General features: G+C 39.6%; 1 protein-coding gene across 15 annotated transcripts in view, besides 2 other annotated features; it reads right to left on the bottom strand.

The window, feature by feature from the left end:
- DOCK7 (dedicator of cytokinesis 7) overlaps positions 1-23,687 on the bottom strand; it is a 233,661-nt gene that overhangs the window by 209,040 nt on the left and 934 nt on the right. The gene's annotated exons all lie outside the window — the stretch shown is intronic.
- Positions 6,177-6,738: an enhancer, noted in NCBI's record as "H3K27ac-H3K4me1 hESC enhancer chr1:63135613-63136174 (GRCh37/hg19 assembly coordinates)". NCBI's record gives its function as "activates a minimal SCP1, AML or CMV promoter by ChIP-STARR-seq in primed H9 embryonic stem cells {active_cell/tissue: H9 hESC(primed)}" and the evidence as "EXISTENCE:reporter gene assay evidence [ECO:0000049][PMID:30033119]".
- Positions 11,135-11,766: an enhancer, noted in NCBI's record as "H3K27ac hESC enhancer chr1:63140571-63141202 (GRCh37/hg19 assembly coordinates)". NCBI's record gives its function as "activates a minimal SCP1, AML or CMV promoter by ChIP-STARR-seq in naive H9 embryonic stem cells {active_cell/tissue: H9 hESC(naive)}" and the evidence as "EXISTENCE:reporter gene assay evidence [ECO:0000049][PMID:30033119]".

Here is a 23,687-nt window from a genome sequence, read left to right on the forward strand (position 1 = left end):
AGCCAACTACACAACTGGAAATGTTTACACAAAAATAAGAGTTATCATTCTTTAGGGCTTAAGATACTGAATTAGCTCAACCTTTTTCAAGTAGGTGACTTGAGGTACTTTATATATTTGTGTTTTAAAAGGCTAACTTCCTATTCATAATTGCCAAACTTTGGAAGCATCAAGCTATCCTTCAATGGGTAACTGGATAAACAAACTGTGTTACATCTATACAATGAAGTATTATTCAATGATAAAAAGAAATGAGTTATCAAGCCATGAAAGACATAGAGGAACCTTAAAAGAATATTGCTAAGTGAAAGAAGCCAATCTGTATGATTCCAACTATATTTTATTCTGAAGAAGGCAAAACTATGGAAGACAGTAAAAAGACCAGTGGTTGTCAGGGGCTAGAGTGGGGACAAGAAAGGAAGAATGAATAAGTAGAAATAGGGTGATATGGTTTAACTGTGTCCCCACCCAAATCTCATCTTGAATTATAGCTCCCATAATTCCCATGTGTTGTGGGAGGGACCCTGTGAGAGAAAACTGAATCATGGGGTCAGTTTCCCCCATACTGTTCTCATGGTAGTGAAGAAGTCTCATGAGATCTGATGGTTTTATAAGGGGTTTCCCCTTTTGCTTGGCTCTCATTCTCTCCAGCCACCATGTAAGATGTCCCTCTGCTCCTCCTTCGTCTTCTGCCATGATTGTGAGGCCTCCCCAGCCATGTGGAACTACGAGTCCATTAAACCACTTTCCTTTATGAATTACCCAGTCTTGGATATATCTTTATTAGCAGCATGACAAAAAAACTCCTACACGGGATGTTTCGGACAATGAAACTTTTAGTTAATAACAATGTACATCAATATTGGCTCATCAATTATAACAAATGTACCATACTAAAGCAAGATGCTAACTGGAGAAATTTGGGAGAGAAGAGAGAATGTATAAGAACTTTCTATACTTTCCATTCATTTTTCTGTAAACCTAAAACTGCCCCCTCCCAAAAAAGTCTACTAGTTTAAAAAAAAAAAAAAAAAGTTAACGACAAGGGAGGAAGACAACAGCACCAAAGCACCAAGAAAACAATTAGAGGTTAGAGCTGAAATCTGGAGAGAGAATGAAATCTTTGAGAGGGAGAACAGATTCAGGAGAGGGCAAAGGGCAAATTATGTAATCCTTTGTCTGAAAAGACAGGAACATTCGCTTCAGTTTAGGACTCCATTAGGGCTTTTATTTATTTATTTGAAACAGAGTCTCACTGTTGCCCATGCTGGAGTGCAGTGGCGCGATCTCGGCTCACCAAAACCTCCGCCTTCCAGGTTCAAGCGATTCTCCTGCCTCAGCCTCCCAAGTGGCTGGAATTACAGGCATGCACCACCACGCCTAGCTAATTTTTTTGTATTTTTAGTAGAGACGGGGCTTCGCCATGTTGACCAGGCTGGTCTCGAACTCCTCACCTCAGGTGAGCCACCCACCTTGGTCTCCCAAAGTGCTGGGATTACAGGCAGGAGCCACCGTGCCTAGCCTCATTAGGGATTTTAATGAAGCCTATATAATGTGAGTATTCATTATTATGTTTAGCTTGAAGTCCTTACATATCCTGATCCTCTCATCGAAGCTGAGATGAGACTATGTAAAAGCCTTTAAAAAGACACAAAACAGGCCAGGCGCGGTGGCTCGCGCCTGTAATCCCAGCACTTTAGGAGGCCAAGGCCAGCAGATCACGAGGTCAAGAAATCGGGACCATCCTGAACAACGTGGTGAAACCCCGCCTCTACTAAAAATACAAAAATTAGCCAGGCGTGGTGGTGCCTTGGCTGTAGTCCCAGCTACTTGGGAGGCTGAGGCAGGAGAATCGCTTGAATCCACGGAGGTTGCGGTGAGCCGAGATCACGTCAAGCCGAGATTGCGCCACTGCACTCCAGCCTGGTGACAGAGCGAGACTCCATCTCAAAAAAAAAAAAAAAAAAAAAAAAAGGACACAAAATAAACTTTCTACCTCCCTCATTGCTACTCACCTCACTCTACCAATCTCAGCACTAGCTCAGTGTTTCTGGGGCTAAATCATGAGTAAACTGAATAGTAAACTGCTGTATTTCATCAAATTCAAGATATCACTGGCCGGGAACGGTGGCTCACACCAGTAAACCCAGCACTTTAGGAGGCCGAGGCGGGCGGATCACAAGGTCATGAGATCAGGACCATCCTGGCTAACATGGTGAAACCCTGTCTCTACTAAAAATACAAAAAAATTAGCCAGGCGTGGTGGTGGGCACCTGTAGTCCCAGCTACTCAGGAGGCTGATGCAGGAGAATGGTGAGAACCCAGGAGGCAGAGCTTGCAGTAAGCTGAGATTGCACCACTGCACTCCAGCCTGGGCGACAGAGTGAGACTCTGTCACAAAAATAAATAAATAAAAATTTAAAAAATCACTAATTGTTAAGAAATGACATTACTCCATGTACAGCTAATAAATAAAAACTTTGCCAATTAACCACCATACCATCAGTTAATTGAAGATTTCAGATGTTAAAATGTGAAATTTAAAATAATGAAACATAGTTACTTCAAAAAGAGGCAATCTTTTGTTTAATAACAGACATAAAAACGATAATCCTCATATTGCAAATATCTTTCTACATGACATTAATTTCCCCCCAAAAAAGAAAATCTATTAATTTGAAAATAAGTTGTGATAATGCAACAAGAACCATTTCCAAACTGAGCTATAGTAGCCATAAAAATATGTGCAACCCAGACAAGGGATGCATTTACAACTGGGACCTTCTGCAAAGATTTCATAAAATGGTAGTGAAGGAATCTTCCCAAATAAAAAAACTCTATCTCTTAACCATATCATGATCCAAAGTATGCAAGAAAGAAATGTTAATGAATAAATATAAGCCCTGATACCAGTTAAAATCCTTTATCAGAGGTTACTTTTTCCAATCAGATTTTTTCTTACTCCTAGTGATAGCTCAGAAAGAAAAACAAGGCAGTCTTTTTTCCTTCTAATGAACCATTAATATTAACTGCAAAGTAGAAAAGGTCAAAAATTCTGTAGTTACTTATGCCCCTAAATTATAATATGAAAAAAACTTCTATCCCTCCCAAGAAAACATGATCCAGTATTTGACCTATTTATCTCTTTATCCACTCTCTCCATTCCTACAAGCTACGTATGTCAACACACATTACAGTTTTCACAAAAGAAAGCATCCGCTCAGGCCATTCATTATATGATGTTGGAAATAACTAGCAAAAGACCCACATTCCGAGAGAAAATTATGTTGCATTTAACCTTTCTTCTAACCCACTCCTACTTTCAGACACCCTATCTAGTCATGATTTCCAGAATGAACCAAGGGGTGATAAGGCCAATCTGTGCCTGCCTCTCTCTAGTCATTCTTCATGGGACCAGAAGTAAAGCCTGAGAAAAAATGAATAAGGAGAGTTCATACTAAAGTCATAAGAAAGTTTAGTTGAGCTGCTCCTATAAAGTCACAAAAAAAATAGCTGGAATGTACTATGTTAAATAATAAGGTATCTTGGAACTGGCATTATTTGTATCTGAGATAGAAGTCAGGGAAGAAATGAAGGGTAAAGGATATATCAGGGACAAAGAAAAAAAGGACTAGCTAAAAATCCCCAAAAGAAAAGGAAGAGAGCAGCTGACACTGCAGTAGTGTAACTATCTAAGTTCAAAACTGATGAATGATGGGTTGTATCAGAGTGTTAGAACTGAGTTGGAATTAACAATAAAGAAAACAAGTGAAACCCCATCTCTACTAAAAATACAAAAATTAGCTGGGCATGGTGGTGCGTGCCTGCAGTCCCAGCCACTTGGGAGGCTGAGGCAGGAGAATCGCTTGAACCTGGGAGGTGGAGAGGTTGCAGTGAGCCTAGATCACGTGACTGCACTCCAGCCTAGGTGACACAGAGAGACTCCATTTCAAAAATAAATAAATAAATAGGCCGGGCGCAGTGGCTCACGCCTGTAATCCCAGCACTTTGGGAGACTGAGGCAGGCGAACTGCCTGAGGTCAGGAGTTCGCGACCAGTCTGGCCAACATGGTGAAACCCCGTCTCTACGAAAAATACAAAAAAATTAGCCAGACGTGGTGGCAGGCACCTGTAATCCCAGCTACTTGGGAGACTGAGGCAGGGGAATTGCTTGAACCAGGGAGCTGGAGGTTGCAGTGAGCCGAGATCATGCCACTACACTCCAGCCTGGGCAACAGAGCAAGACTCCGTCTCAAAAAAACAAAATAAAATAAATAAATAAATAAATAGAAAGAAAACAACAGACTAAAGAAAAACAACACTGTACCACCTAGTAAGTATTTGTGCCAAAAAATGTTTAACCTGAATCGAATCAAACCTTTACATCTAACTTCCAGTTTACGGGAAATACAGAGAACAGTATAATACTATTGCGAGGAAGCCATCAGACAAAAACTAGAAGGCAGGTCATGCTATGTGCCAAAATCTCTTACGGGTCAATGTGGTGGATAAATTAACAAGTAAAGGCAGTGGACTAAGTTTTAGTGTAAAAAAGACTTAAGACTAAAAGGCAAAGTCTATTTAAGAGGGTGGAAAAACAGATTTATGAGATATAACCAAATGCAACATATGGTTACTACTGGATCCTGATTTGAGCAAACCAGCTGTAAAATATATTTTGGGGGATGAGAAATTTGAACATGGGCAAGGTAATACATAAGAGTCATTAGGGTTTTTTTAAAATGTTTTTACTGTGTGGAAAGCAGCATATAGTAAAATGTCCTTGTATTAATATTTTAGAGATGCAAATGATATTTGTAATTTAGCTTAAAAGTCTTCAGTTGGAGGCTTCAGCAGTGGCTCATGCCTGTAATTCCAGCACTTTGGGAGGTCCAGGCAGGAGGATCGCTTGAGCCCAGGAATTTGAGACCAGCCTGGGCAACATGGCAAAACTCTGTCTCTACTAAAAATACAAAAAATTAGCCAGGAGTCAATAGTGTCTACCTGTAGTCCTAGCTACTTGGGAGGCTGAGGTGGGAGGACTAGCTACTTGGGAGGCTGAAGCAGGAGGACAGCTTGAGCCCAGGAGGTCAAGGCTATAGTAAGCCTTAATCGTACCACTGCACTCCAGCCTGGGCAATAAAGTGAGACCTTGCCTCAAAAAAAAAAAAAAAAAGGCTTCAATTATTATTACTCTGCCTTAGTGGGGAAACGAACAAATCAAATATGAAGTAAGATGGGGCAAATAAACTTCAAGAGGTATGTATATCACATCCTCCATAAAGCCCTGCCTGATTCTTTCTGTTCCATACAATTGAGTGTCTAAATCTGTTTGGACACTCCTCCCTATACTTTCAAAGCACCCTGTGCTTATCTGCATACATTCAAGGAAAAGGAGCTTCCAGGAGACAAATTCAGACAGGCAGCAGACTAGCCACTGACTGCTTTCTCTTGTTGAATAAGAACATTGCCTTGCTAATTGAGTTTGATTTCAGTAGTGGGAAAGCCCAATGTTTGTAAGCACTCTCTTTGATAGTAGCATGTAAGTTGAAAAGGTTTCTATGGAACAGTAGTTATGCAACCCATAAGTATAAAAGTATGGTGGGGGGAAAAGAGTACAGTGAAGTATCAAGAATTTGGCTTTCCGGGTCTGACACACTACTTCAGAAGCACCTTTGCAACCTCCTTGAGGAATAGACAAGAAAACTTCACGTCTGATTGGGGTATTCTATGCTGTCTCTTACTTGGTATAAATGTCCCAAAACAGGTTCATTTCTGCCATTCAAGAAATTACATGTTTTCAAACTCTAGTGGCATTTTTCTATCTCATTGTGATAACCAAGCAATACCAAAGTCACAGCACCTATCAAATTGTTTTGAAATCTGTTTACCTATCTCCTTACAAGGAATGAAGCAATTAAAAGTCAAAACTTCATCTTATTGAGAGGTGACAGCGTGCTGGCAGTCCTCAGAGCCCTCGCTTGCTCTCGGCACCTCCCCTGCCTGGGCTCCCACTTTGGTGGCATTTGAGGAGCCCTTCAGTCCCCCACTGCACTGTGGGAGCCCCTTTCTGGGCTGGCCAAGGCCGGAGCCCACTCCCTCAGCTTGCAGGGAGGTGTGGAGGGAGAGACACGAGCGGGAACCGGGGCTGTGTGCGGCACTTGCGGGCCAGCTGGAGTTCCGGGTGGGCGTGGGCTTGGTGGGCCCCGCACTCGGAGCAGCCAGCCAGCCCTGCTGGCCCCGGGCAATGGGGGACTTAGCACCCGGGCCAGTGGCTGCGGAGGGTGTACTGGGTCCCCCAGCAGTGCCGGCCCACCGGTGCTGCGCTCGATTTCTCGCCGGGCCTTGGCTGCCTTCCCACGGGGCAGGGCTCGGGACCTGCAGCCCGCCATGCCTGAGCCTCTCACCCCCTCCGTGGGCTCCTTTGCGGCCCGAGCCTCCCCGACGAGCGCCACCCCCTGCTCCACAGCGCCCAGTCCCATCAACCACCCAAGGGCTGAGGAATGCGAGCGCACGGCGCAGGACTGGCAGGCAGCTCCACCTGCAGCCCTGGTGCGGGATCCACTACGTGAAGCCAGCTGGGCTCCTGAGTCTGGTGGGGACGTGGAGAGTCTTTATATCTAGCTCAGGGATTGTAAATACACCAATCAGCACCCTGTGTTTAGCTCAAGGTTTGTGAGTGCACCAATCGACACTCTGTATCTAGCTGCTCTGGTGAGGACGTGGAGAACCTTTATGTCTAGCTCAAGGATTGTAAATACACCAATCGGCACTCTGTATCTAGCTCAAGGTTTGTAAACACACCAATCAGCACCCTGTGTTTAGCTCAAGGTTTGTGAGTGCACCAATCGACACTCTGTATCTAGCTGCTCTGGTGGGGCCTTGTAGAACCTATGTGTGGAAACTCTGTATCTAACTAATCTGATGGGGACGTGGAGAACCTTTGTATCTAGCTCAGGGATTGTAAACGCACCAATCAGCGCCCTGACAAAACAGGCCACTCGACTCTACCAATCAGCAGGATGTGGGTGGGGCCAGATAAGAGAATAAAAGCAGGCTGCCCGAGCCAGCATTGGCAACCTGCTTGGGTCCCCTTCCACACTGTGGAAGCTTTGTTCTTTCGCTCTTTGCAATAAATCTTGCTACTGCCCACTCTTTGGGTCCACGCTGCTTTTATGAGCTGTAACACTCCCCGCGAAGATCTGCAGCTTCACTCCTGAGCCCAGCGAGACCACGAGCCCACCGGGAGGAACGAACAACTCCAGACGCGCTGCCTTAAGAGCTGTAACACTCACCGCAAAGGTCTGCAGCTTCACTCCTGAGCCAGCGAGACCACGAACCCACCAGAAGGAAGAAACTCTGAACACATCTGAACATCAGAAGGGACAGACTCCAGACGCGCCACCTTAAGAGCTGTAACACTCACTGCGAGGGTCCACGGCTTCATTCTTGAAGTCAGTGAGACCAAGAACCCACCAATTCCAGACACATTATCTCTAGCAGAGTGCCCAGCACATACAAAGTGCTTACCCAGTGTTTACAGAGCTAAAGTGAAAAACACAGGAATAGAAAAGAAAAATTCATAATTCCTTCGCCAGAAAAGTAATTGACTAAGAATGCTTGAATGGAACAACTTACGAGAGCTCCTTCAGGGCAGGGACCATATCTTATTAATCGTTATATCCTCAAAGTCTAAGACAATGGGGAGAGAGAGAGAAATGGAGAAACAGATATAAGAATTTAGAGAGAGGAAAAGAGAGAGATACTGAATAAGAATGAACTTAGAGACTACCTAGTACTTTCAAAACACCTTTTAGAGTAAACCAATTCATAAGTGATGTTGGTTTCTAACTGATTAAAAGGGAAGAAAAAAGTATGCCTTCTTATCTATTATTGTCAAATAGAAAAATATTTGCAGGGGAAAAATAGTCTCAGTCTAGTTGAGATCATTATTATCATCTTTGTAATCTGGTAAAGTAAAAAAACTACTACCAAAACACAATACTCTCCTATTCTGTATGAAACTTTTTTAAAAACAATTTTTTTAACAGGATATATAATTTGTTTGCTTATCTCAAAATAGTCTCTAATGTGTCTTTAGCATATCTGCAAAGGGCTGGTTACAGAATTACTTTCAAGCCCTACTATTACATAAAGTTACTATGAGAAGCAGAGGAAATAAGATTTTCCAAAATGAAGACAAAAAAAAAAAAACCTGATACAAGAAATCTTTTAAATAAATAAATAAATGGCATTACAAAATGCAAACTTAGGAAGAAAAAATTTCAAACTTCACAAAGAGGTGAAAATAAAAGGTCCATCTCTCTGCCATCTCCAATCCCCAATCCCCAGTCTTATTCCCTAGATGTAACTAGTTAATATTTTCTTGGTATCCTTCAAGAAATAGATGTGTATCTATCATTACATATATAAGAAATCCTTATTTTTTAATGTCCACACATGACATCATACAATAATCATTTCTTGATACCTTACATTATACAATATATATTAGAAATCTTTCCATATTGGCACATAAAACTAATAAAACTAGCAACATTTGTCAGGCACTTACAACGTGTCACATACTGTGCAAAGTGTTACTTTTGTTATACCTCAATCTTTAGAAAACCCTATGAAGTAGGTACTCTATTCAAATATTGAAATTTCAAGAGTTTCACATAACTGATAAGGAATAGAGCTAAAATTTGAACATAAAGACCTCATTCTTAACTACTAATCTCCTTTTTATCTGCTATAAAGTCCCTGGTATGGATAAACAAACATATTTAACCAGTCTCCACGGGTGGACCTTTAAACTATTTCCAGTTTTTCCAAAGATTATCACTAGAATGTAAGTTCTATGAGGCAGAGATTTCTGTCTGAATCAAGAATTATGGGTGATTTTTGAGGGCTTTCTGTATTTCTAAATTCTCTGCAGCAACATTATTTTATAATTAAAAAATAGATATTTTTAGATACATTTCAAAAATAAAGTAACTTGCCCAAGTTTATGAAAGGTAGAGGCAGGGTTTGAATTCAGATCCATAAAGCTCCTAAAGCTTTCCATGGAAGCAGGTTTCCAAAGATAAAATAATTCTTGCTATAGTTTATATTAATGATTTGTCTATTTTCCAAAACCCAGCCTTTCACAGGTCAGTTAAAGATATCCAGTAAAAATGTCTGGTGTATATACTAACATAGTAATAGGAACACTAGAATGACTACCACCATTGTTATGATCTGTTTCCTATCCTTCATGTATGGCTAAATAAAATGCCAATCTAAGCCATTGTCTTTATGTCATTTGTAAGTTAGCCCGTGTTAAAATGTTTAGGAACACAGAAGACTGGATCCCAGTAACCACTAAAGGCTCAAGAAAACTAAAACATATACACGTTGATATGTGAAACAAAACCAAAAAGAAACAGTCCTTCTACATAATACACTTAACATTTAAAATATACCTCCTTTTCTGGTGGGAAAAAGGATTAAAAAAAAGATGTCAGGTGTCTCATATATCCCATCTGACACTATTTTGGGGATAACATTACTCAAAATTATTTTTACATTAGAAAGCACTGTATTAAGGAGACTTGGATGGCTCTATCACTGTGATCAACAGCATTTCCATATAAATCTCAGTTTCATCAACTAAAAGCTGGTGATAATACTGCTCCCTATTTCATGGAACATATTACATTATAATTACATAAAGAAAAGAATTCAAAAATTTAGCATTTGTAAATATTAACACTGACCTGAAATTGGCAATTAAAAACAGAGAGAAAAGAAAAGTATCTACTGCAAAAGGTCAATCCTCCTAAAAGGATATAAATTTATCTTAAATTCCACCCTACTTCATTATAAAAATAAACCCAGAGCTGCCTTACCCATAAACATACAAAATTATATCCTGGTGTAAAGTATACATAATTAGTTGCTAAATCGTGTTTATTCTAACTCTTAAATATTTCTCAAATCCTTGTCCCCACCTTTCCTTTTTTACAACATCTACCTACAAATAACATCATACTTAACAGTGAAAGTCTGAATGCTTTTCCCTTTAGAGCAAGAGAAAGCCAAGTATGTCTGCTCTCAGTTCTATTCAACCTTGTACTGGAAGAGGGAGGGAGGGAAGGAAGGAGAGAGGAAGGAAAAGGGAAGGAAGCAAGGAAGGGAGGGGGAAGGGGGGGAGGTAGGGAGGGATGGATTAAAGGCATTTTGATTGGAAAGGAAGAAATAAAACTGTCTTTACTCACAGAAAAAATTATCCTGTATACAGAAAATTCTCAGGAACCCACAAAAAACTACTAGAAATACTAAACAAGTTCAGCAAGGTTGAAGGATACAAGTATAATATCCAAAAATCAACTGTATCTCTATATACTAGCAATGAACAAACCAAAAATATTTTTTAATTCCATTCAAAAGATCAAAAATAAAATATTTAGAAATAAATTTAACAAAAGAGGTACAAGACCTTTACACTGAAAACTTCAAAATGCTGAAGAGAGAAATTAAATAAGATCTAAATAAATAGACCCCCCCCACCAACCATTTTCATGGATTGGAAGACTCAATATTGTTCAGATGGCAATTCTCCCAAACTGATCAACAGATTCAGTGCAATCTCTATCAAAATCCCAACAAGACTTTGCAGAAACTTGCATACTTTATATAGATATTGGTCCTAAAATGTATATGAAAATGCAAAAAATCCAGAATAGACAAAGCAATTTTGAAAAAAGTAAAAAATTGGAGGACCCACACTTACAAATTTCAAATTTTACTTTAAAGCAATGGTAACCAGAACAGCACTGTACTGGTATAAGGATAGACACACAGAGCAATGAAACAGAACTGAGTATCAAGAAATGAACTCTTACATTTATGATCAACTGATTTTTTTTGACAATGGTGCCAAGGCAATTCAATTGGACAAAAGTATTCTTTTCAACAGTGTTGCAACAATTGAACACCCACACACTAAAGATAAATTTAGACCTTTATCTCAAACCATGCATAAAAACTAACGCAAAATGGAACATAAACCTTAATATAATAACTAAAACTATCAAATTTTTAGCAGAACATAGAAAAAAATTCATGACAATGGATTAGGCAAAAAGTCTTAGCTACAACACCAAAATCCTGATGCATAAAAGAAAAAAACTGATGAACTGGACTTCATTAAAATTGAAAACCTTTGTGCTTCAAACATCACCTAAAAAATGAAAGGACAAGCCAAACAAGGAGACAATAGTTGTAAATTATATATCTAAAGAAGGACTTTTACTCAGAACACATAAAGAACTCCTACAACTCAAAAGCAAGATAAATAATCCCACTGAAAAATGAATAAGAGGCCAGGCATGGTGGTGCATGCATGTAATCCTAGCATTTTGGCAGGCTGAGCGGGGAGGATCACTTGAGCCCAGGAGTTCAAGACCAGCCTGGGCAACATAGAGTCTGTCTCTACAAAAAATTAGCCAGATGTGGTGGCGTGGGCCTATAGTCCCAGCTACTCAGGAGGTTGAGCTGGGAAGATAGCTTGAGCCCAGGAGTTCAAAGCAGCAGTGAGCTATAACGCACCACTGAACTACAGCCTGGGTAACAGAGCAAGACCCTGTCTCAATCAATCAATCGATACAAATGAGTAAGAGACCTGAACAGGTATTTCACCAGGGCAGATACGTGAGTGGCTAATAAGCACATAAAAAAGGTCACTAGTTGGCCAGACGCGATGGCTCACTCCGGTAATCCCAGCACTTTGGGAGGCCGAGGCGGGCGGATCATGAGGTCAGGAGATCAGGACCATCCTGGCTAATGTGGTGAAACCCCGTCTCTACTAAAAATACAAAAAGAAATTAGCCAGGCATAGTGGCGGGTGCCTGTAGTCCCAGCTACTCAGGAGGCTGAGGCAGGAGAATGGTGTGAACCCGGGAAGTGGAGCTTGCAATGAGCCGAGATCGCGCCACTGTACTCCAGCCTGGGCGACAGTGCGAGACTCCATCTCAAAGAAGAAAAAAAAAAGGCACTAGTCATTAGGAAAACACAAATTTAAATCACAATGAAATACCACTTCACACTCACCAGAATGTCTATAATCAAAGAGGACAATAACAAGTGTTAGCAAGCATATGGAGAAATTAGAACCCTCATACATCGCTAATAGGAATGTAAAATGGCAGTCATTGTGGAACAGTTTCGCAGATCCTCAAAAAGCTAAACACAAAATTACACTATGACCTAGCAATTCCACTCCTAGATAGGTATATACCCACAAGAATTGAAAACAAGCCTTCAAACAAAAGTTTTATTCCTATTGGCACTATTCACAAAAGCCAAAAGGTAGAAACAACGTAAATGTCCATCAGCTGATGAATGGATAAACAAAATGTGCTACATACAATGGAATATTAGTCAGCCATAAAAGGAGTGAAGTACTGATATATGCACAGATGAACCATAAAAACATTATGCTAAATGAAAGCCACCAGATATAAAAGGCCACATATTGCATGATTCTCTTTATGTGAAATTTTCAGAAAAGGCAAATTGAGAGATTGATACAAAAAGATTAGTTATGCCCAGGGCTTGGGGTCAAAATAGGGAATGACTGCAAACTGGCACAAGGAATTTTTTGGGTGATGGAAACGTTCTAAAACTAGATTGTGGATGATGGTTTCACAGCTGTTAATTTACTAAAAATCATTTAATTGTACACTTAAAATGAATGAATTTTATGATACATAAAGTATACCTCAATAAAGCTGGGTTTTTTTTTCTAAGGATCTGGGTTGGAACTGCTCTGCAAAGATAAGTGGAAGAAACTGTTTATTTGTAAGAGAAAGAATGATGATGGCAGAAAAAGGAGAGCTGAATGCAGTCACTAAGAAAATTTTGCACCCTGAGACTCCGTACCACGATCCTGTAACATTAGCAATTATGAAAATTATTAAATGGTTGATATGAATGAAGGAGTTAGTTCTGTTTTCTGGTGTCACAGGGCAAACCAGGAACAGCCCATGATGATGCAAGCATACAGATGCAGAAGGAAAAAATGAGAATGACAAAAGTCAAAAAGAAAAACCAGGAAGACATCCTTGGGAGGGCTATGAGTTGGTACTAAGATCTAGGCTAAACTGTAAAAAGTTAAGGGACAGGGAAGCCACAGCTAGCTAGCATCAGGTTACACTGGTTTTCCTTGAATGTCTTTGCATTTCACCAGTTCCATTTAAACTGCAGATAGGAGAGCTGTCTATACTGCCACATATTTAAGTAATTATAGTCATGTGGAACCACTATAAATGACTAAACCACTAAAAAATGACTAATTTTAAAGAACATCAGCTGTTTTGCTATGAACAGTACTCTTATCCTCATTCTTTAGGTTAGAAACCCTTCTTTGGTAAGGAACTAATTCTGTAAGATTTGGGTGGGGCTAACACATCTTTCTCCCAAGCCATAGAGAAGGGCATGTGACCCACAGTGGTCAGACTCTCCTATACCCCTAAACATAGTAATTGGTTCAAGGAAGGACATGTGACCCAGCCCACACCAATAACTGAGTCCTTGGATCTTTTCTGCCACAACTAAACTGGGAGGATTTGAGCCTGGGGCTGTCAAATCTCATAGTGGCCATTTTGTGGAAAACCTATCCAAGATACGAAGATAAGAGGCTGCTGACATTATCCCTGGACCCAATACACTCAGTTACAGGAGTCAACACTTTGTGTGTGTGCAAAATAATCTGATCTGTCACTTGCAACCCCAGCAAATAAAAAAAAAAAATTCCCATGTAAAAAGCCACCGAAAAAGCAGTGATATATCCAGAGTATCTGCCAAGGGGGTCCAAATGATGCAACCCCAAAATAAAAGGGAGTTAACTCTGAAGAAATTGAATTGACTGGAATGAAGAAGAAAAGCCCCAAATAAAGCATCAATTCTTAATTCTTATAACAGGCTCTGTTTTCTAGGAAACCCAAACTAAAAGGATATCTACAAAAAGCTGTCAGCTATCATTAGACCAGTGAAACACAGAATGCTTTCCCTTTGAGATCATAAATAAAACAAGGAAGGCCAGGCACAGAGGCTCATGCCTGTAATCCCAGCATTTTGGGAGGCCAAGGTGGGAGGATCGCTTGAGGCCAGGAGTTCTCCAGCCTGGGCAACATAGCAAGACCCCACCTCTAAAATAAATTTAAAAATTAGCCAGACATGGTGGTGCACACCTGTAGTTCTAGCTACTCAGGAGGCTGAGGTGAGAGGACAGCTTGAGCCCAGGAGTTCAAGGTTATAGTGAGCTATGATGACGCCATTGTGCTCCATCCTGGACAACAGAGCAAGAGTCCACCTCAAAAAAGTAAATAAAAACTAAAAAACAGAAAAATAAAAATGTAAGAATGTTCAACATTAATACAATGTTGAATAGCAATGGTATCAATCTACACAGTAATACAAAATAATAGTCTACAGAGCAAGATAAAAAATAGTAAGTCAGTTATAAGGATTGAAAAGGAAGAAACAAAAAAAATAATGATTTCCAGATCATATGGTTGTCTACACAGAAAATATAAAGGAATTCACAAGTACATTCAGAATAAACAAGAGTTTAGCAAGGTATAGCTGGATACAAAATTGTTATATACCCAGGAATAAATCTAACAAAAGATATGCAAGAACCTGACAGAGCAAATTATAAAATTTCATTGTACAACATAAAGAAGACCTAAATAAATGGAGAAATACACTATGGATCATGGATTGGAAACTCAATATTATAAGGATGTCATTTCTCCCCTGAATTAACATATAGATTCAATGCAATCCCAATCAAATTCTATGAGTTTTGGGTTCAGGGAGTTTTGTTTTGTCTTTGGTAGATTCTAAAATTTACGTGGAAATTCAAAGGGCTAAGAGCAGTCAAGATTTTTTTTTAAAGGTGGAAGGAGTTACTCTACCAAATGCCAAGACTGATTATACCTAAGATTATTTATAATTTGTAAAAAAAATACTGTATAACCAGACCAATGGAACAAAACAGAGATCCCAGAAAAAGACCCACAAATAAGGATATATCATCTACAACAGATAATTTCAATGTACATTTTAAAAATAACTAAAAGAATTGGATTGTTACACAAGATAAATGCTTGACATGATAGATACCCCATTTACCCTGATGTGATTCTTACACATTGATGCCTGTATCAAAATATCTTATGTACCCCATAAATACATATGCATACTATGTACCCACAAATATTAAAATTAATTTTTTTAATCTACAATAGAGGCGGCAGGGCAGATTAATGGGGAAAGGACAATCCATTTAGAAAAAAATTAAAATTTCACACCATACACATATCAAGACAAGGTGGAATATAAACCTAAATAAAAAGGGGGTAACTACAAATTCATGATAATATGGATGAATATCTTAATATCTCAGGGTAATAAAATATTTCTTACGACCCATAAACCAATAACCATTAAAAAAGACTGGTAAGTTAAACTGCATTAAAACTGAGAACATACAGCTTTCATAAGATTCCATTAAAACTATGAAAAACAAGCCACAGGGTGGGAAAAGGTATTTGCTACACATATAATCAATAAACAACTAATACACAGACTGTATGTAAAGTACTCACACAAAATCAATTCCTAAAAAACCCAAAGGGAAAAAACAATGGAGGAGGGGGATAACAGCAAAATATTTAAATAAGCAATTTACATAAGAAGAAATTCAAATCATCAATAAACATACAAAACAGAGCTCAACCTCATTAGTAATAAAATGAAAATTAAAACTTACAATGAGATGGCATTGTGCATCCACCAGATTGTGGTAAAAATGAAAAAGTTGGCCATACAAAGCAATGGCATTGATGTAAAGCAACATTGTTGTGAGACTGTAAATTTCTACAACCACTTTAGAAAACAGTTTGACACTACCTAATAAACATTGCTGTAGCAATAAAGATTGCCATCTATGAGTGAACTCCCATTCACAATTGCTTCAAAGAGAATAAAATACTTAGGAATCCAACTTACAAGGGATGTGAAGGACCTCTTCAAGGAGAACTACAAACCACTGCTCAACGAAATAAAAGAGGACACAAACAAATGGAAGAATATTCCATGCTCATGGATAGGAAGAATCAATATCGTGAAAATGGCCATACTGCCCAAGGTAATTTATAGATTCAATGCCATCCCCATCAAGCTACCAATGACTTTCTTCAGAGAATTGGAAAAAACTACTTTAAAGTTCATGTGGAACCAAAAAAGGGCCCACATTGCCAAGTCAATCCTAAGCCAAAAGAACAAAGCTGGAGGCATCATGCTACCTGACTTCAAACTGTACTACAAGGCTACAGTAACCAAAACAGCATGGTACTGGTACCAAAACAGAAATATAGACCAATGGAACAGAACAGAGCCCTCAGAAATAATACCACTCATCTACAACCATCTGATCTTTGACAAACCTGACAAAAACAAGAAATGGGGAAAGGATTCCCTATTTAATAAATGGTGTCGGGAAACCTGGCTAGCCATATGTAGAAAGCTGAAACTGGATCCCTTCCTTACACCTTATACAAAACTGAATTCAAGATGGATTAAAGACTTACATGTTAAACCTAAAACCATAAAAACCCTAGAAGAAAACCTAGGCAATACCATTCAGGACATAGGCATGGGCAAGGACTTCATGTCTAAAACACCAAAAGCAATGGCAACAAAAGCCAAAATTGACAAATGGGATCTAATTAAACTAAAGAGCTTCTGCACAGCAAAAGACACTACCATCAGAGTGAACAGGCAACCTACAAAACGGGAGAAAATTTTTGCAATCTACTCATCTGACAAAGGGCTAATATCCAGAATCTACAATGAACTCAAACAAATTTACAAGAAAAAAACAACCCCATCAAAAAGTGGGCAAAGGATATGAACAGACACTTCTCAAAAGAAGACATTTATGCAGCCAAAAGACACATGAAAAAATGCTCATCATCACTGGCCATCAGAGAAATGCAAATCAAAACCACAATGAGACACCATCTCACACCAGTTAGAATGGCGATCATTAAAAAGTCAGGAAACAACAGGTGCTGGAGAGGATGTGGAGAAATAGGAACACTTTTACAGTGTTGGTGGGACTGTAAACTAATTCAACCATTGTGGAAGACAGTGTGGCGATTCCTCAAGGATATAGAATTAGAAATACCATTTGACCCAGCCATCCCATTACTGGGTATATACCCAAAGGATTATAAATCATTCTGCTATAAAGACACATGCACACATATGTTTACTGCGGCACTATTCACAATAGCAAAGACTTGGAACCAACCCAAATGTCCATCAATGATAGACTGGATGAAGAAAATGTGGCACATATACACCATGGAATACTATGCAGCCATAAAAAAGGATGAGTTCATGTCCTTTGTAGGGACATGGATGAAGCTGGAAACCATCATTCTCAGCAAACTATCACAAGGACAGAAAACCAAACACCACATGTTCTCACTCATAGGTGGGAATTGAACAATGAGAACATTTGGACACTGGAAGGGGAACATCACACACCAGGGCCTGTCGTGGGGTGGGGGGAGGGGGGAGGGATAGCATTAGGAGATATACCTACTGTAAATGACGAGTTAATGGGTGCAGCACACCAACATGGCGCATGTATACATATGTAACAAACCTGCACGTTATGCACATGTACCGTAGAACTTAAAGTATAATAAAAAATAAAAAAAATAAAATAAAAATACAAAAAAAAAAAGATTGCCATCTATGACCCAGAAATTGCAAGGGTGGCTATACCCTAGAGAAACTCATGCATATGTATACCTGAAAATTTGTATAGGAGTGTTCATGGAAACGTTTGTAATAGTAAAAAACTGGAAACAATCCAAATGTTCACCTACTATAGAATGGATTGATTGTGGTATATTTATGGAATGAAATACTACAAAGCAATGAAAATGAATGAACTTCAACTACTCAGAATATCATGAATTAATCTCACAAATTATAATTTTGTGCAAAGAAGCAAGACAGCAAAGCATACACACAATACGATTCCACCCGAATGACTTCAAAAAGAGAAGAAAACATTTTGCTTAGTAATGCATTCACAGATGGTAACATTAAAGAAAGGAAGGAAATGGTTATCCCAAAAGTCAGAATGGTGGACTGGAGTAGTCTTAAGAAGGGGTAAGATTTAGGAAAGAAAAGGAAGAATGTATCTAAAAGAAAAAAAAAAAACAGCAGAACAGTTACAGAGATGGAAACAAGCATAGCATTTGTGGAGGTACAGTGAAAACACCAGACTGACTGGAGGACAATATGTAAACTAGAGAACAAGTCAACAAAAGGAGGACCAGGTCACAGTTAACCTTAAAATCCAAGCAAGGGTTTGGCTTTAACACTGTAAGAAGCCACTTATATTCTTGAACTGCACAATCCCATGATGAAAGCTGTGTTTTAGGGAGACTTAATTTGCAACACACTTGAATTAGAGGAGGGAGGGACTAGATCAGCTAGTAGCTTTCTATGGTCACCTAGAAGTGAAATAATAAAGGATGTCCAACGCAGCTTGGTGGCATTCATTTAAACACTTTATGTGTCAGATATCCATGGGATCTGTGTGAAGCACTGGAAATAAAAAGTCAAAACCAGACCTGCCATCAAAGAGCTCTGAAAAGCAGTATAAAAACAGGGAAGGGGGTGGAGGGACATAAGAAATGTAACTTTTTAAAAAAACAGCTCATGAAATCAGTGATGAAGAAAAGAAAAAAGTCAAAGTTTCCTAGCCCTCAAGAGCCCTATAATTCAAGTACACATAAGGTAAGCACAACTATATAGCCCAAGGATTGATGAGGAAGAGAATAAGCAGGAAGTAGCCATGACTATACCACATACATGGGAGAAATGTGACAAGGAAAGGAATGTTTGGTTGGCAGCTGAAAATGCCAGAACACTCAATAGATCTTTGTTTTAGGATGAGAAAGACATAGTAAGTCTTATGGTTTAAGGGAAAGGTCCACAAAAAGGGAGTAGATTGAAGATGTTAGAACAGGGAAAGTTGTGGGATCAAGACTCTGAGAGAGGTGGCAAGAGAGAATTTCAAAGTACAATAAAATAGGTAAGCTTTAGGAACAAGAGACCTTTCAGGCTCAAGGGAAAGATGGTTAAGTCACCTATTGAGAGAGTAGTATGCTAAGGTTAAAATGAAGGACTAATGGTAGTCCCAAACTTTTCAGTAAGATGAGGTAGAGAAACAAAATTGTTAAATAAGAGAAATGACCTAAGGTAAACCTCATCTCAAATGGCAAGATATTAAGACATAAAGATCAACTCTGGAATGTTCTAGTCTCTCTTTAACACTATTTTGCAGCTTAGGAGCAAGAAGCAGGTTAGATATTCAGCATTAAGAATTAGTGAGATGAGTACAACAAAAGATCAGGGAAGTATATGTGTTCCGCAAGATAAAACAGGCAGCACGGAAGTAGTTGGTAATATATGGAACTATGAATTGAACAAAGTAGATTCTGTAGATTGAAAGACTGGGCCCATCTGCCCAGAGTTAATAACACATACAAGACTAAAAACATCTGAGGTGTTAAATAAGTCGATATCCAGGAAATCCCACTCATGTAAGATTTTCCCTCAGAAATAAAGATCTGATGGAAACCTTTCATTAAATTATGCTACTTATGCAGCAAAAGGATACCCGGTTAACAAAAGAAGGACTAAGAAAGCTGGCATAACTTTAGGGATAGTAGCAGTGACACTGTTAGGAAACCTGGAACTACCACAGAAAATATTCTGCAGAAAGAAAATATAGTCAAATAAAAAGAGTAGGCCAGGTAGCTCATGCCTGTAATCCCAGCACTTTGGGAGGCCGAGGTGGGCAGATCCCTTTAGCCCCGGAGTTCGAGACCAGCCTGGGCAACATGGCGAAAACCCGTCTCTACAAAAAGTGCAAAAATTAGCCAGGCACAGTGCCCATAGTCCCAGCTACTTGGGAGGCTGAGGTGGGAGAATCGCTTAAACCTGGGGGCAGAGACTTCAGTGAGCCAAGACTGTACCACTGCGCTCCAGCCTGGGCAACAGAGCGAGACCCTATCTCAAGAAAAAAAAAAGCATAAGATCTGAAATCAGGCTGAGCGAGGTGGCTTACGCCTGTAATCCTAGCACTTTGGGAGGCCAAGGCGGGTGAATCACCTGAGGTCAGGAGTTCGAGACCAGTCTGGCCAACATGGTGAAATCCCGTCACTACTAAAAATACAAAAATTAGCTGGGCGTGGTGACGAGGACAGGAGAATCGCCTGAACCCGGGGCAGTGGGGTGGAGGTTGCAGTGAGCCGATTGCGCCACTTCACTCCAGCCTGGGCGAAAGAGCAAAACTCCATCTTAAAAAAAAAAAAAAAATCTGAAATCAGAGAACTAGGATTTGAGTCCCAATTTAGGCAAATACAGTTGCTGTTTTTAGGCCTCAATTCCTCATCTAGAAAATGATAACAACAGTAAGTAATATGGAAATCATAATAGCAGTGGCTAACATTTTTGAATGCTTATGTTCCTGACACAGTACTACTAATGCATTATTAGAACTGTATTAGCTCACTTACACATGTATTAACTCATTTAATCCTCACATTAACTTTATTGAGGCTGTTATCCCCATTTTTCTGTGGTATATGCAGAATTTCAACCTGTGCAATCTGATCCCAGATCCTATATTCTTTAGTACATTTTCTGCCTCTCTGGGTTATGAAGATGAGAATGCAGTAAAAAGTGCTTTAAGTGTACACAAATGTTCATCATTACTGCTGAGTATCAAGCAACAGGACAAAATAATCCCAACAAAATCCTAGACAATTTGTCTACAGTCTACATTCCATAAATCCATGGGCCTTATCCTCAAAAAGCAAAGGGGACACACATGTACAAAGACAACTACTTGATATGGACAAGATATACATGCTGCTTTTCTATGGTGAGCTGAAGTAAACAGTATAATTAGTGATAATAAGAATAAAGAGCCTTCAGAAATCACCAAATCACAGCCTCAAAAAATAACTGCACTAAATGCAAGGGGCTAAAAAATAACTGCGACAGAAACAAGATCATTATAATTCTTTTTAAAGTATAGGTTTCTGAACAATCACAAAGCTTTGAAAAGAAATAAGGTTTCAAACAGCAACAGGCTTTTCACAGAGCAACAAATTTCATATACGAACACTAGGAAAAGGATTATCATTTCCAACAAAAGCCTCAAACCACATTATAAATACTGTAGTAAAAAACAGTTGATACTTACTAGGCACTTAGAGCACTGTTCTAAGCACTTTAGAGGTAACAATTCATTTAATCCCCACAACAACCCTACGAGGTTAAGTCTTACCATCATCCTCATTTTCTAGATAGGGAAAACGAGGCAGAAGTGTGGTCAAGTAACTTGGCCATGTTTACTCAACGAGTGGCTGTGCTGGGGTGTCAAACCCAGGAACTTCATCTCCAGAATTTGTGCTATACTTCCTCTAATAGAAAAGTTAAAAAGCAGAACACGAATTGATTCAGAAGTATTAAGTATTATTCAATCATATTTGATAACAAGGAAGAACCTTTCATTCACAATAAGCAGTTAATAATGCATTACTCATAGCAGTTCTGTCTTTGGTATTCCTTCCAAGTTAAGTCTGCACATTCTCACTGGACAATCTCATCAACCCCCACCCACCCCCGGGCTCCAAATGCAATCTACTTGCTGATAACTCTCAAATCTAGATCTCCAGCCCAATCTCTCTTCTGCACCTTCAACCTGCACCAAAAACCAAATAGATATTTCTCTCTGAATGATTCATGAGCCCCTCAAAATTAACATGTCCAAAACTGAATCATCATCTCCATCCCACTTGCATCTCCCAATCTCAAACTCCTTTTTCCTCCTGTACTCCCTTACCCCAAAGACTGCCACCATCATCCACGTGGTTGCCCAACTTAGGATGTCATCCCAGACTCCTCAGTCCGCCTCACCTTGCATGTCCAATCACCAATCACTACCATATCCACCTCCTGTCTGTCCAATAAGTGCACATTTCTTCATTCACATTATCTTAATTTTATAACTTCTTAGAAAGCTGTTCTTATTTGCATTTTGTGTTGTTTTGCACAACTGATTCTCTTTTTCTCTTGTGGTTTGTCCTATCCCATCTGGTGGCGAACTCCACTAATAGACATACAATTTCATATCCAACTCTCTAAAGTGCACTTACTTTATCAGCATGATGTTTTCAGAGATAAACTTCTGGTTCTAATAAGAGAAATTAAAACTAGGAATACATGTCAAGTAATAACTTTTTTTTTTTTTTTTTTTTTTTTTTTTTTTTTTTGAGACGGAGTCTCGCTCTGTCGCCCAGGCCGGACTGCGGACTGCAGTGGCGCAATCTCGGCTCACTGCAAGCTCCGCTTCCCGGGTTCACGCCATTCTCCTGCCTCAGCCTCCCGAGTAGCTGGGACTACAGGCGCCCGCCACCGCGCCCGGCTAATTTTTTGTATTTTTTTTTTTTAGTAGAGACGGGGTTTCACCTTGTTAGCCAGGATGGTCTCGATCTCCTGACCTCATGATCCACCCGCCTCGGCCTCCCAAAGTGCTGGGATTACAGGCGTGAGCCACCGCGCCCGGCCAGTAATAACATTTTTTAATGACATCATCATCAGAAGTAAGACCTAATTATTTTACAAAAAAAAAAAATTTCCTGTCATCATAACTCCCTGGGAGAAACTAATTACTACAAGTGTTTGATGACAGGTAGTATAGGCCCTGTACTATCCTACGCACATTACACAAATTATGCCACTTAATGTTCACAACAACACTATGAGCTGGGTCCTATTATTATTCTCATTTGCCAGACGAGGAAACGGAAATTTGGCCCAACAACTTGGCCAAAGTCCCAAGCTAGAAAATACCAATCAGGATTTGAACCCATGTCGGGGTCTGAGAGTAGAGCCCATGCTCTTAAACACTTGCTATTTTGCCCCTTCAGGAAAAAAAAAGTGCTAGAACGCTGGAAAGAAAGAAAAAAAAAAGCCTCTGCCTCGAAAGCAGCTAGGACGACAGGTGCAACACCACACCTGGCTAATTTTTTTGCAGAGATGGGGTGGGGGGGACTCGCTATGTTGCCCAGGCTGGTCTTGAACTCCTGGCCTCAAGCGATCCTCCTGCCTCGGCCTCCCAAACTGCTGGGATTACAGGCCTGAGCCACTGCATCCGGCCCAAAATTTTTAAAGAAATGTCAGCAAACTAAAAAGACTCAGAGCCACAGAACTACAACTGCCCCAAAACAAAAAAAGGTAATTTAATATGAATGCTTCTTTTCTTGGGACATCATAATTCACACAAATATGATTTTATTAAAACAAAAATGTCTACTGTCTCATACATAAGTATACTCCACAAAGAAATTCTACAAATATTAGAGTCCTCTGTCATTTAATTTTTATTTGGCGGGTGGGAGAAAGGTGGCAACCAACCACCACAAGTAGGTGAAAGGCTTTGAAACCTCCACCTCAATCACTTGCTTTACTTCAAGACTGCAATCACTTGCTTTACTTCAAGACTGCTAACATATAAAAGGATGTCAGTGTAT

This window comes from Homo sapiens, chromosome 1, assembly GCF_000001405.40.
Source record: "Homo sapiens chromosome 1, GRCh38.p14 Primary Assembly".
Classification (NCBI taxonomy): Eukaryota; Metazoa; Chordata; class Mammalia; order Primates; family Hominidae; genus Homo; species Homo sapiens.